Below are 12,479 nucleotides of genomic sequence, written 5' to 3' on the forward strand. Positions count from 1 at the left end.
TATCCTTTCTAGGTTTCAGTTCCCTCAAATAATAAAACAGAGGTAATAATTATGCCTACTATCCAGGCTAATTCTGAGGATTAATTGAGCTATAACAAAGTGCTTAGAACAATGCTGATGTCATAAGTGCTTAATGTTAGCCATTATTATTACTTTACATTAGCTTTCTCATTTAATGCTTATGACAGACCTGTGAGGTAAGTATTATTACTCTCACCCCATAAGGTGAGGCAGGTTAAGTAATTTGACCAAAGTCCCACAGAGGTAAAGCAGAATTTGCCTACAGATCTGTCCAGTTCCCAGCCTATAATCTTAGTTCCCCCTAATACTTCATATGTTCCCCACTGATCTTGCTCTTATGTTATCATAACATTCATCAAGATATATTTAGATTTCCTTTTAAATGGATCTTTCACTCACAGAGTAACCTCTGAGAACAGAGACTGGGTGCTGCTTCTCCCTTCATTCATTAGTCCACCCATCCTTCCGCCCGTATGTCCGTATTTCAGAGCCTATTACGTGTCATGCCTTGTGCTGGGCGCTGGGATATCAAGCTGAATAGAACAGGCTCCATGTCTTCATGAAACTTGAAGTCCACCCAAAAAGACACATAATTAAATAAACATATAATAATTATAAACTGTTACAGTTGTAATGAAGGAAAAGAAAAGGGTACTAGAAAAGGCATAAGAGATGAACTTCATTCAGTTGGCGGAAAATCATAAAAGGGCTTTCTGAAGAAGGGACACTTAAGCTGAGATGAGGAGGCTGAAGAGGAGGAGTTAGCCAGGCAAAGAGATGGGGACAGAAACCACTGTGCACAGGACCCTAAGAAGAGACTTCACCTGGTGCGTGAGGAAGCAAAGAAGCAGGTTGGCAGCCAAATTGTGAGCTACCAGCAGAGTGAGTGCTATGAGATGAGAAGGGAGAGGTGAGACCAGAACACCCAGGAGTACTGTGAATTGGGAGTTTATCCTCAGTTCAATGGGAACTTCAGTTGGTTTTTAGAAAGACCACTCTACTGCAGTCTGGAGACTAGAATGAAAGAGGACAAGAGAAGAAGCTGGAAGTCCACTGGGAAGCTCTAAGAGTGGGGCAGGCAAATGTGATGGTGGTTTGGGACTAGCAGGGTAGTAGCAAGCGTGGGGAGAAGTATACAAATTCGAGGTATATCAAATCCCCCATGCCTAACACGATGCCTGACAATAAGAGGAATTCAATTACCTATCGACTGAATGAACGAGTAATTCCTCAAGCAGAGCTGTTGCTGGTTATCAAGCCCCAACTACCCCATATGCATAATCATCCAGTGGGCATGGGAGACATAGAAAGATGCTGAGGAAATGATGACTAAATCTGTAAACCAGCTGGCAAGACTTCACTTATGAAAACTTCTTGATGTATAAATGTATCTTTGTGAAACAAAATGCCTCTCCCATTCTGACAATGAAAAATTTTAGAAGCCAGATACCTTTCTGTTATGTGACTTTCCAAGCTTGTTAGAGAAATGTATTATTTAAAATAGCCTAGAGCTATGCTGCCAGAAACATAGTAAAACACTGAGGGTGCTGAAAGAAAGCCCTTTCATTTAAGGGGGAAAAAAAGCAGTGCAGCAATGCATAGAAAGACAATCCATACTTGTTATTCCACTTTCCTTCCTGTAAAAACATGATCTCTGTCACTACTTCCTAAAACAGCACTATATTTTGATTGTCTATCAGTAACAAATTCAAATAGAGAGTTAGCATATTTTCTCACAATCTGATAAATTCCCAAGGTCAGGAGAGAGAATGTCTTCCCCATGTTATTTAATAATTTTGATCTTTAATCCATAAGATATCTATTTTGTTAAAACTATAAAACTGAAACCATTTGGAAAATCCAAATGTTTGTCCATGTAGATAAGAGAACAAGGTAATCTACTTCTATAGTCAACTGAATTTAAAATATAGTCATTATCCCCAACACCCCTCGAAATGTTTTCCTATCCTTAAATAGGTCAAGAGCATCAGTAATAGGATAAGAAAGAAGTCATCAGGTTGACTCAGATATCAACTGCTCTCTGGCTAGGACTAAGTTAAACCTAAGATATTCATTGATTTCTCAATAATTAAAGCTTTAAGTTTTTTTTTGTTTTTGTTTTTGTTTTTGTTTTTTTTGAGACGGAGTCTCGCTCTGTCACCCAGGCTGGAGTGCAGTGGAGCAATCTCGGCTCACTGCAAGCTCCGCCTCCCGGGTTCACGCCATTCTCCTGCCTCAGCCTCCCGAGTAGCTGGGACTACAGGCGCCCGCCACCACTCCCGGCTAATTTTTGTATTTTTAGTAGAGATGGGGTTTCACCATGTTAGCCAGGATAGTCTCGATCTCCTGACCTCGTGATCCACACACCTTGGCCTCCCAAAGTGCTGGGATTACAGGCTTGAGCCGCCGTGCCTGGCCAGCTTTAAGTTTTTTTAAATTAGTTAAGACAGTCTATTGCCTTGGCTAAAGTAATAAGCTCTAGTGTTTGGGGGCACAAATGAAGCTTAATTTTGCATAGAAAAAGAGGGCTCATCGGCAAAAGATTCTGTTCTAAGGTTCAGCCAAATGTCTTGTACAATTTTGATCAAAAGGCCAACTACCAGCACCCTCACCACTGCTTCTGATAGGGAGATAAGAAGAATAACTGGGCCTATATGGGATTCTATGGGTTGTTAAGGAGCTTAAAAATAAAGTATAATTTACCTTCTTCCATTTGGCAGGAACCACTTTTCCCTACACTGAAAATAAAGTTTTGTGTGATCCCCTCTACCTTTAGCATGCCTTTGGAGTCTTGAAAATGCTTTTTCTGCAGAACCAGAAAGTGATACGTGAGTGCATCAAACAATGCTTTAGTCCTGTTACTCTAAGAGCTATTTTAAAGAAACCTAGTGACCATGGCAGATGATGAAAGAAGATCTTAGTAAAAAGTTTACTGAGATTTAAGACTGAATAAAACAAACGTATAAATTGTTCTATCTATCTTTTATCACCCAAGAAGACAAGATTGTATATTGATAGCTAAAATTCATATGTTAACAACATATAAACAAATCATTAATATCTAAATTCATATAAATTAAAAGAAATGAATATTTCTCAAATTTATGTCACTCTCATTTTATTAAGAAAGCTCTTCTTCTTAGTTTGTACCAAACTTACTTAGTAAAAGTAGTATAAAATCATCTTTCAAGAGGTGGCTGGCAATATGGCTGAATAGGAACAGCTCTGGTCTGCAGCTCCCAGTGAGATCAACCCAGAAGGCAGGTAATTTCTGCATTTCCAACTGAGGTACCCAGCTCATCTCACTGAGACTGGTTGTACAATGGGTGCAGCCCAAGGAGGGCGAGCCAAAGCAGGGTAGGGTGTCACCTCACCTGGGAAGCACAAGGGTTCGGGGAACTCCTTCCCCTAGCCAAGGGAAGCGGTGAGGGACTGAGCCATGGGGAGCAATGCATTCCAGCCCAGATACTACACTTTTCCCACGGTCTTCACAACCTGCAGACCAGGAGATTTCCTTGGGTGCCTACACCACCAGGGCCCTAGGTTTCAGGCCCAAAACTGGGCAGCTGTTTGGGCAAACACCGAGATAGCTGCAGGAGTTTTTTTTTCATATCCCAGTGGCACCTGGAATGCCAGCGAGACAGAACCATTCACTCCCCGGGAAAGGGGGCTGAAGCCAGGAAGCCAAGTGGTCTAGCTCAGCAGATCCCACCCCTACAGAGTCCAGCAAGCTAAGATCCACTGGCTTGAAATTCTCGCTGCCAGCACAGCAGTCTAAAGTCAATCTGGAACACTCGAGCTTGGTGGGGGGAGGGGCATCCACCATTACTGAGGCTTGAGTAGGCGGTTTCCCCTCACAGTGAAAACAAAGCCACCTGGAAATTCGAACTAGGCAGAGACCACTGCAGCTGGGCAAAGCTTCTGTAGCCAGACTGCCTCTCCAGATTCCTCCTCTCCAGGCAGGGCATCTCCAAAAGAAAGGCAGCAGCCCCAGTCAGGCACTTATAGATAAAACCCCCATCTTCCTGGGATGGAGCACCTGGGGGAAGGGGCGGCTGTGGGCACAGCTTCAGCAGACTTAAACGTTCCTGCCTGCTGGCTCTGATGAGAGCAGTGGATCTCCCAGCACAGCACTCGAGCTCTGCTAAGGGACAGACTGCCTCCTCAAGTGGGTCCCTGACTCCCATACCTCCTGACTAGGAGACACCTCCCAGCAGTGGTCAACAGACACCTCATACAGGAGAGCTCCAGCTGGCATCTGGCAGGTGTGCCTCTGGGATGAAGCTCCCAGAGAAAGGAACAGGCGGCAATCTTTGCTGTTCTGCAGCCTCCACTGGTGATACCTAGGCAAACAGGGTCTGAAGTGGACCACTGCAAACTCCAGCAGACCTGCAGCAGAGGGGCCTGACTGTTAGAAGAAAAACTAACAAGCAGAAAGGAATAGTATCAACATCAACAAAAAGGATGTCCACACAAAAACCCATCCGAAGGTCACCAACATCAAAGACCAAAGGTAGATAAATCCACAAAGATGAGGAAAAACCAGCGCAAAAGGCTGAAAATTCCAAAAACCAGAATGCCTCTTCTCCTCCAAAGAATCACAACTCCTTGCCAGCAAGGGAATAAAACTGGATGGAGAATGAGTTTGATGAACTGACAGAAGTAGGCTTGAGAAGGTGGGTAATAACAAACTCCTCCAAGCTAAAGGAGCATGTTTCTTACCCAATGCAAGGAAGCTAAGAACCTTGAAAAAAGGTTGGAGGAATTGCTAACTAGAATAACCAGTTTAGAGAAGAACATAAATGACCTGATGGAGCTGAAAAACACAGCACAAGAATTTCGTGAAGCGTACACAGCTATCAACAGCCAAATCATTCAAGCAAAAGAAAGGATATCAGAGATTGAAGATCAACTTAAGGAAATAAAGGGTGAAGACAAAATTAGATTAAAAAGAATGAAAATGAACGAAAAGAGCCTCCAAAAATATGAGACTATGTGAAAATACCAAACCTATGTTTGATTGGTGTACCTGAAAGTGATGGGGAGAATGGAATCAAGTTGGAAAACACTTTTCAGGATATTAACCAGGAGAACTTCCCCAACCTAGCAAGACAGGCCAACATTCAAATTCAGGAAATACAGAGAACACCACAAAGATATTCCTTGAGAAGAGCAACCCCAAGACACATAATTATCAGATTCTCCAAGGCTGAAATGAAGGAAAAAATGTTAAGGGCAGCCAGAGAGAAAGGTTAGATTACCCACAAAGGGAAGCCCATCAGACTAACAATGGATCTCTCTGCAGAAACTCTACAAGCCAGAAGAGAATGGGGGCCAATATTCAATATTCTTAAAGACTTTTCAACCCGGAATTTCATATCCAGTCAAACTAAGCTTCATAAGCAAAGGAGAAATAAAATCCTCTACAGACAAGCAAATGCTGAGCGATTTTGTCACCACAAGGCCTGCCTTACAAGAGCTCCTCAAGGAAGCACTAAATATGAAAAGGAAAAACTGGTACCAGCCACTGCAAAAACATACAAAATTTTAAAGATCATTGACACTATGAAGAAATTGCATCAACTAAGGGGCAAAATAACCAGCTAGCATCATAATGACAGGATCAAATTCACACATAACAATATTAACCTTAAATGTAAACAAGCTAAATGCCCCCAATTAAGACACAGTCTGGCAAATTGGATGAAGAGTCAAGAACCATCAGTGTGCTGTATTCAGCAGATTCATCTTCCATGCAAAGACACACATAGGCTCAAAATAAAGGGATGGAGGAATATTTACCAAGAAAATGGAAAGAAAACAAAAGCAGGGGTTGCAATCCTAGTCTCTGATAAAACAGACTTTAAACTATCAAAGATCAAAAAAGACAAAGAAGGGCATTACATAATGGTAAAGGGATAAACGCAACAAGAAGAGCTAACTACCCCAAATATATATACACCCAATACAGGAGTACTCAGATTCATAAAGCAAGTTCTTAGAGACCAACAAAGAGACTTAGACTCCACAAAATAATAGTGGGAGACTTTAACACCCCACTGTCAATATTAGACAGCTCAATGAGACAGAAAATTAACAAGGATATTTAGGACTTGAACTCAGCTCTGGACCAACCAGAACTAATAGACATCTACAGAACTCGCCACCCCAAATCAACAGAATATACATTCTTCTCAGTACCACATTGCACTTATTCTAATATCAACCACATAATAGGAAGTAAAACATTCCTCAGCAAATGCAAAAGAATGGAAATCATAACACAGTCTCTCAGACCACAGTGCAATCAAATTAGAATTCAGGATTAAGAAACTCACTCAAAACCCCACAACTACATGGAAACTGAACAACCTGCTCTTGAATGACTACTGGGTAAATAATGAAATCAAGGCAGAAATAAATAAGTTCTTTGAAACCAATGAGAACAAAGACACAATGTACCAGAATCTCTGAAACACAGCTAAAGCAGTGTTTAGAAGTAAATTTATAGCACTAAATGCCCACATCAGAAAGCGGGAAAGATCTAAAATCGACACCCTAACATCACAATTAAAAGAACTAGAGAAGCAAGAGCAAACAAATTCAAAAGCTAGCAGAAGGCAAGAAATAACTAAGATCAGAGCAGAACTGAAGGAGATAGAGACATGAAGAACCCTTCAAAAAACCAATGACTTCAGGAGCTAGTTTTTTGAAAAGATTAACAAAATAGATAGACCACTAGCCAGACTACTAAAGAAGAAAAGACAGAAGAATCAAAAAGACACAATAAAAAAGGATAAAGGGGATTTCACCACTGATCCCACAGAAAAACAAACTATCATCAGAGAATACTATAAACACTTCTATGCAATAAAACAACTAGAAAATCTAGAAGAAATGGATAAATTCCTGGACACATATAACCTCCCAAGACTAAACCAGGAAGAAGTTGAATCCCTGAGTAGACTAATAACAATTCCTGAAATTGAGGCAGTAATTAATACCCTACCAACCAAAGAAAGCCCAGAACCAGACAGATTCACAGCCAAATTCTACCAGAGGTACAAAGAGGATCTGGTACCAGTTCTTCTGAAACTATTCCAAACAACAGAAAAAGAGGGACTCCTCCCTAACTCATTTTATGAGGCCAGCATCATCCTGATACCAAAACCTGACAGAGACACAACAAAAAAGAGAAAATTTCAGGCCAATATCCCTGATGAACATGGATGCAAAAAGCTTATCCACCACAATCAAGTTGGCTTCATCCCTGGGATGCAAGGCTGGTTCAACATACGCAAATCAATCAACATAATCCATCACATAAACAGAACCAATGACAAATACCTCATGATCTCAACAGATGCAGAAAAGGCCTTCGATAAAATTCAATATCCCTTTGTGCTAAAAGTTCTCCATAAACTAGGTATTGATGGAATGTATCTCAAAATAATAAGAGGTATTTATGACAAACCCATAGCCAATATCATACTGAATGGTCAAAAGCTGGAAGCATTCCCTTTGAAAACTGGCACAAGACAAGGATGCCCTCTCATCACTCTTATTCAACACAGTATTGGTAGTTCTGGCCAGAGCAATCAGGCAAGAGAAAGAAATAAAGGGTATTCAAATAGGGAGAGAGGGAGTCAAATTGTCCCTCTTTGCAGATGACATGATTGCATATTTAGAAAACCCCATCGTCTCAGCCCAAAAACTTAAGCTGATAACCAACTTCAACAAAGTCTCAGGATACAAAATCAATGTGCAAAAATCATAAGCACTCCTATACACCAATAATAGACAAACAGAGAGCCAAATCATGAGTGAACTCCCATTCACAAGTGCTACAAAGAGAATAAAATATCTAGGAATAAAACTTACAAGGGATGTGAAGGACCTCTTCAAGGAGAACTATAAACCACTGCTCAAGGAAATAAGAGAGGACACAAACAAATGGAAAAACATCCCATGCTCATGGATAGGAAGAATCAATATTGTGAAAATGGCCTTACTGCCCAAGGTAATTTATAGATTCAATGTCATTCCCATCAAGCTACCACTGAATTAGAAAAAACTACTTTAAATTTCATATGGAACCAAAAAAGAGCCCATATAGCCAAAACAATCCTAAGCAAAAAGAACAAAGCTGGAGGCATCATGCTACCTGACTTCTACCTATACCACAAGGCTACAGTAACCAAAACAGTATGGTACTGGTACCAAAACAGATATATAGACCAATGGAACAGAACAGAGGCCTCAGAAATGATGCTACACATCCACAACCAGTTGATTTTTGACAAACCTGACAAAAACAAGAAATGGGGAAAGGATTCCCTATTTAATAAATGGAGTTGGGAAACTGGATAGCCAAATGCAGAATACTGAAACTGGACCCCTTCCTTACACCTTATACAAAAATTAACTCAAGATAGATTAAAGACTTAAATGTAAAACCTAAAACCATACAAACCCTAGAAGAAAACCTAGGCAATACCATTCAGGACATAGGCATGGGCAAAGACTTCATGACTAAAACACCAAAAGCAATGGCAACAAAAGCCAAAATTGACAAATGGGATCTAATTAAACTAAAGAGCTTCTGCACAGCAAAAGAAACTATCATCAGAGTGAACAGGCAACCTACAGAATGGGAGAAAATTTTTGCAATCTACCCATCTGACAAAGGGCTAATATCCAGAATCTACCAGGAACTTAAACCAATTTACAATAAAAAAAAAAAAACTCCAGCAAAAACTGGGCAAAGGATATGAACAGACACTTCTCAAAAGAAGACATTTATGTGGGCAACAAATATGCGAAAAAAAGCTCATCATCACTGGTCTTGAGAGAAATGCAAATCAAAACCACAATGAGATACCATCTCATGCCAGTTAGAATGGCGATCATTAAAACGTCAGGAAACAACAGATGCTGGAGAGGATGTGGACAAACAGGAACGCTTTTATACTGTTGGTGGGAGTCTAAATTAAACCACTGTAGAATAAATGTGGCGATTCCTCAAGAATCTAGAACCAGAAATACCATTTGACCCAGCAATCCCATTACCTGGTATATACCCAAAGGATTATAAATCATTCCACTATAAAGACACATGCACACGTATGTTTATTACGGCACTGTTCACAACAGCAAAGACTTGGAACCAATCCAAATGCCCGTCAATGATAGACTGGATAAAGAAAATGTAGCACATATGCACCACGGAATACTATGCAGCTGTAAAAGAGGATGAGTTCATGTCCTTTGCAGGGACATGGATGAAGCTGGAAACCATCACTCTCAGTAAACTAACACAGGAACAGAAAGCGAAACACCACATGTTCTCACTCATAAGTAAGAGGTGAACAATGAGAAAACATGGACACAGGGAGGGGAACATCACACACCAGGGCCTATCAGGGGCTGGGGGGCTAGGGGAGGGATAGCATTAGGAGAAATGCCAATAATAATGTAGATGACGGGTTGATGGGTGCAGCGAACCACCATGGCACGTGTATACCCATGTAACAAACCTGCACGTTCTGCACATGTATCCCATAACTTAAAGTATAATAATAATAAGAATCCTGTCCCAAGCAAAAAGAAGAATGTGAAGAAATATAAGTGTGGAAAACCATGAAGTTTGAAAATAGACCAGCTTGGCCAATGGATTGAAATTGTGTAACATCCAAAAGAGTGATGCAGAACTACCTAGATGGAATGGAAAGATGTCTTACATAGCTACAGGCATATCTTGTTTTACTGAGCTTTGCTTTATTGCACTTTGCAGATATTATGTTTGTTACAAATTGAAGGTTTGTAGCAACCCTGTGTCAAGAAATCTATCAGTGCCATTTTTATAACAGCATGTGCTCACTTTGTGTCTGTAGGTCACATTTTTGTAATTCCTGCAATATTTCAAACTTTTTCAGTATTATTTATCTGTTAGGGTGACCTATGATAGTGATCTTTCATGTTGTAATTGTTTTGGGGTGCCATGAACAAACCCCATATAAGATGGTGAACTTGATTAATAAATATTGTGTGTTTGATGGCTTCACTGAAAAAAAATCATCTTTTACTTAGTAAAAGCAGTATAGAATCATCTTCCTTAATAAGAAAAATCATTTATTCTGGCATGGAAAATAAAAACCTAAGCTCAGACCTTGGACAGCTATTAATTACAAAGAAGAATAAGAAAATAGCATACCTTAAATGTAATGGTTAATTTAAAGTATATAAATTTATTAATAAAATCTTCAACAATACTCAATTCTATGCAAGCGTACCAATCAAATGTTATTTTCATTCTCAATAACATCTCACATAATAGATAGCTCAACTGAGTAAAGGTTGTATATTTTCATTTTTGCTAAACAATCTCCATTTAAAACAAATATATTGCTAGCTGCTATATGTAAATAGGAAGGAGTAATACTTCTAGACAAAGTAAATATTATTAAAATAAGATATTTCAATCAATTTTTGACCAACCATAGTTTTGAATAGCAGACCGTACAAAACATAACATCGCCCTTCATTCAAACCAAAATCTCAAACTTTTGGATTATATATTTCTTCAAGTTATAGGTCATTTATTGTCAAAATAATAATCCTTTGATATTTTCTTAAACAGATGAAATTTGCTTTCTTTTCCTAGGGAAATGCCAGACTATAGTGATATCCAAGAAATATGATTAAATTAGTTTAATTACTTGATGTTGACTTGATGTAAGTCACTGCTCTTTAATGCAAAAACTGTCACTTGCAATTAATGATTGTTGGTACTGCTTCAATTGATCAAATGTCTAATACACACAAAACATTCAAAGAAGTTCTGTATATCTTACAGCAATTCAGTGGAGAAGTCTTGTCCCAGGGGTACGTAAATCTGAAGTACAAGAAACCTCTGGATCAATCCAACTAGAATGAAGAGGAAATACACATTCAAATGTTCGAAGCATTTATATGTGCATATAAACAAACACAATCACAAACCACGAACAAGCTGAAGATTTTAGCATTTCAGTAATACATAGAACTGCAAATAGCACTACCTATGAGTTACAACCTCATTACGAAAGCAAAAAAAATTGATGAAAATAAAATCAAACTTACAACAAATGTCTTTTAAAGTTCCATCTGTGGCCTTCGTGAAATTTTTATTAAAATTTCAAAAATAATAAGTTTTTATTATTTTTATTAGGTTGCAAGAGAATGTACACATAGAACTGCATTCAACAGAGACATATAAAATTGAACTATAAATTCCATTCAAGGCAGCCATAAAAGCATGTGGCAATTATTTTTATTCACTGGCAGTTTTAACTGTACTAAACAACTTAATAAAAAACAATAGATCAAGAAAACAATTCTAATTATGACAACTACAACTGAAGGTTTGATGAGCCATAGCTAATTCATATGGTTTTAAATGTGTCCACAATGAGATGAATAGAGGATCATATTTTCATTTAAACCTTTTGTTAATTAACATATATTTAATTAATTTAATGTTCACTGAGAACTGATAGCTTTTATTCCCTATTACTAGCTTCATCTGGATTAAAAATATTTGCAGAGAAACCAGTCCCTACAGCATTTTTGACAGCTAAATTCTACAACTGCTTAAAAAATCAATTGATTTTATATTACCTCTCCAGATCTGTTCACTTAATGCCTTTCCTCTTAGGTTTTGAACTTTTGCTTGATCTCTCAATTATGGTGCTCTTAACAGATGTTTTTAGTATGACACTTCCTAAAACATGCAATTTACAAACATATTTTCCTGCTGTGGGACTTTTTGGGTAGAAAATGGAGATGTCTTGATTTATCTGTGAACCTCTCCTACAAAGCCAATAGTACAGACCAACACGTGGATTAAAGACAAAAAAAAGGCAACTAGTCTAAAACTCATGCTATTTTATATTATTCCAACTTAGTACGCTTAACAAATTAAGGGATTTTAAAGTAACAACACGTTTTTGGATAGTCTATATAAAGAACTTCTGGTATATGATTCCCATTTTGCAACATTCCTGAACAACTTATAACAGTTCCTATGTTTTATCCCAGATTTACATTCTAAACAATAAACATATTTGATCAAATATGCATAACATTTTTATCAAACATACAGGGATAACCTTTACTTAAAAGTACTAAGCTTCTGCTTAGTACTCTCCAGAGGGCCATCAGTAGTGTAAGCAATGTAACAGAAATAAGAGATCACAGGCCTTGATCCTAGAAAATTCTCTAGAAATCTGACTTTACCATATTTATGGGAAAAGCCAGTGAGGCAAGCAGAGCTCTGGTCTACAAAAGCAAAGTGAGATACCAAAATGAGGCCAACTTAAATAAACCATCCTCAATGAATCTCTCTTGCATCTTGCATTGATTGGCCCCACAGTATTTTTCCATTGCACAATGGCCTCTGTAAATAGAGCTGAGAGAAC

At 38.6% G+C, this 12,479-nt stretch overlaps 1 protein-coding gene across 28 annotated transcripts in view, besides 1 other annotated feature; it reads right to left on the reverse strand.

Annotated features, from left to right (window-relative positions):
- The window catches only part of CFAP20DC (CFAP20 domain containing), a 333,853-nt gene that overhangs the window by 312,510 nt on the left and 8,864 nt on the right, over nt 1-12,479 (reverse strand). For 27 of the 28 annotated variants that reach the window (XR_001740051.3, XR_007095648.1, XR_001740054.3 and 24 more), the window contains one exon: nt 10,875-10,947. The exons of the other annotated variant lie outside the window; for it this stretch is intronic. Coding sequence is in view for 10 of the 27 variants with exons in the window: in XM_047447655.1 (XP_047303611.1) it covers nt 10,875-10,947 (73 nt within the window). In the remaining 17 variants the exon portion in view is untranslated. Of the gene's footprint in view, nt 1-10,874; nt 10,948-12,479 lie in introns of those variants that run through there. 28 annotated transcript variants of the gene reach the window in all.
- Nucleotides 2,990-3,822: an enhancer, noted in NCBI's record as "H3K27ac-H3K4me1 hESC enhancer chr3:59017398-59018230 (GRCh37/hg19 assembly coordinates)". NCBI's record gives its function as "activates a minimal SCP1, AML or CMV promoter by ChIP-STARR-seq in naive H9 embryonic stem cells {active_cell/tissue: H9 hESC(naive)}" and the evidence as "EXISTENCE:reporter gene assay evidence [ECO:0000049][PMID:30033119]".

Source organism: Homo sapiens, chromosome 3 (genome assembly GCF_000001405.40).
Source record: "Homo sapiens chromosome 3, GRCh38.p14 Primary Assembly".
Taxonomy (NCBI): domain Eukaryota; kingdom Metazoa; phylum Chordata; class Mammalia; order Primates; family Hominidae; genus Homo; species Homo sapiens.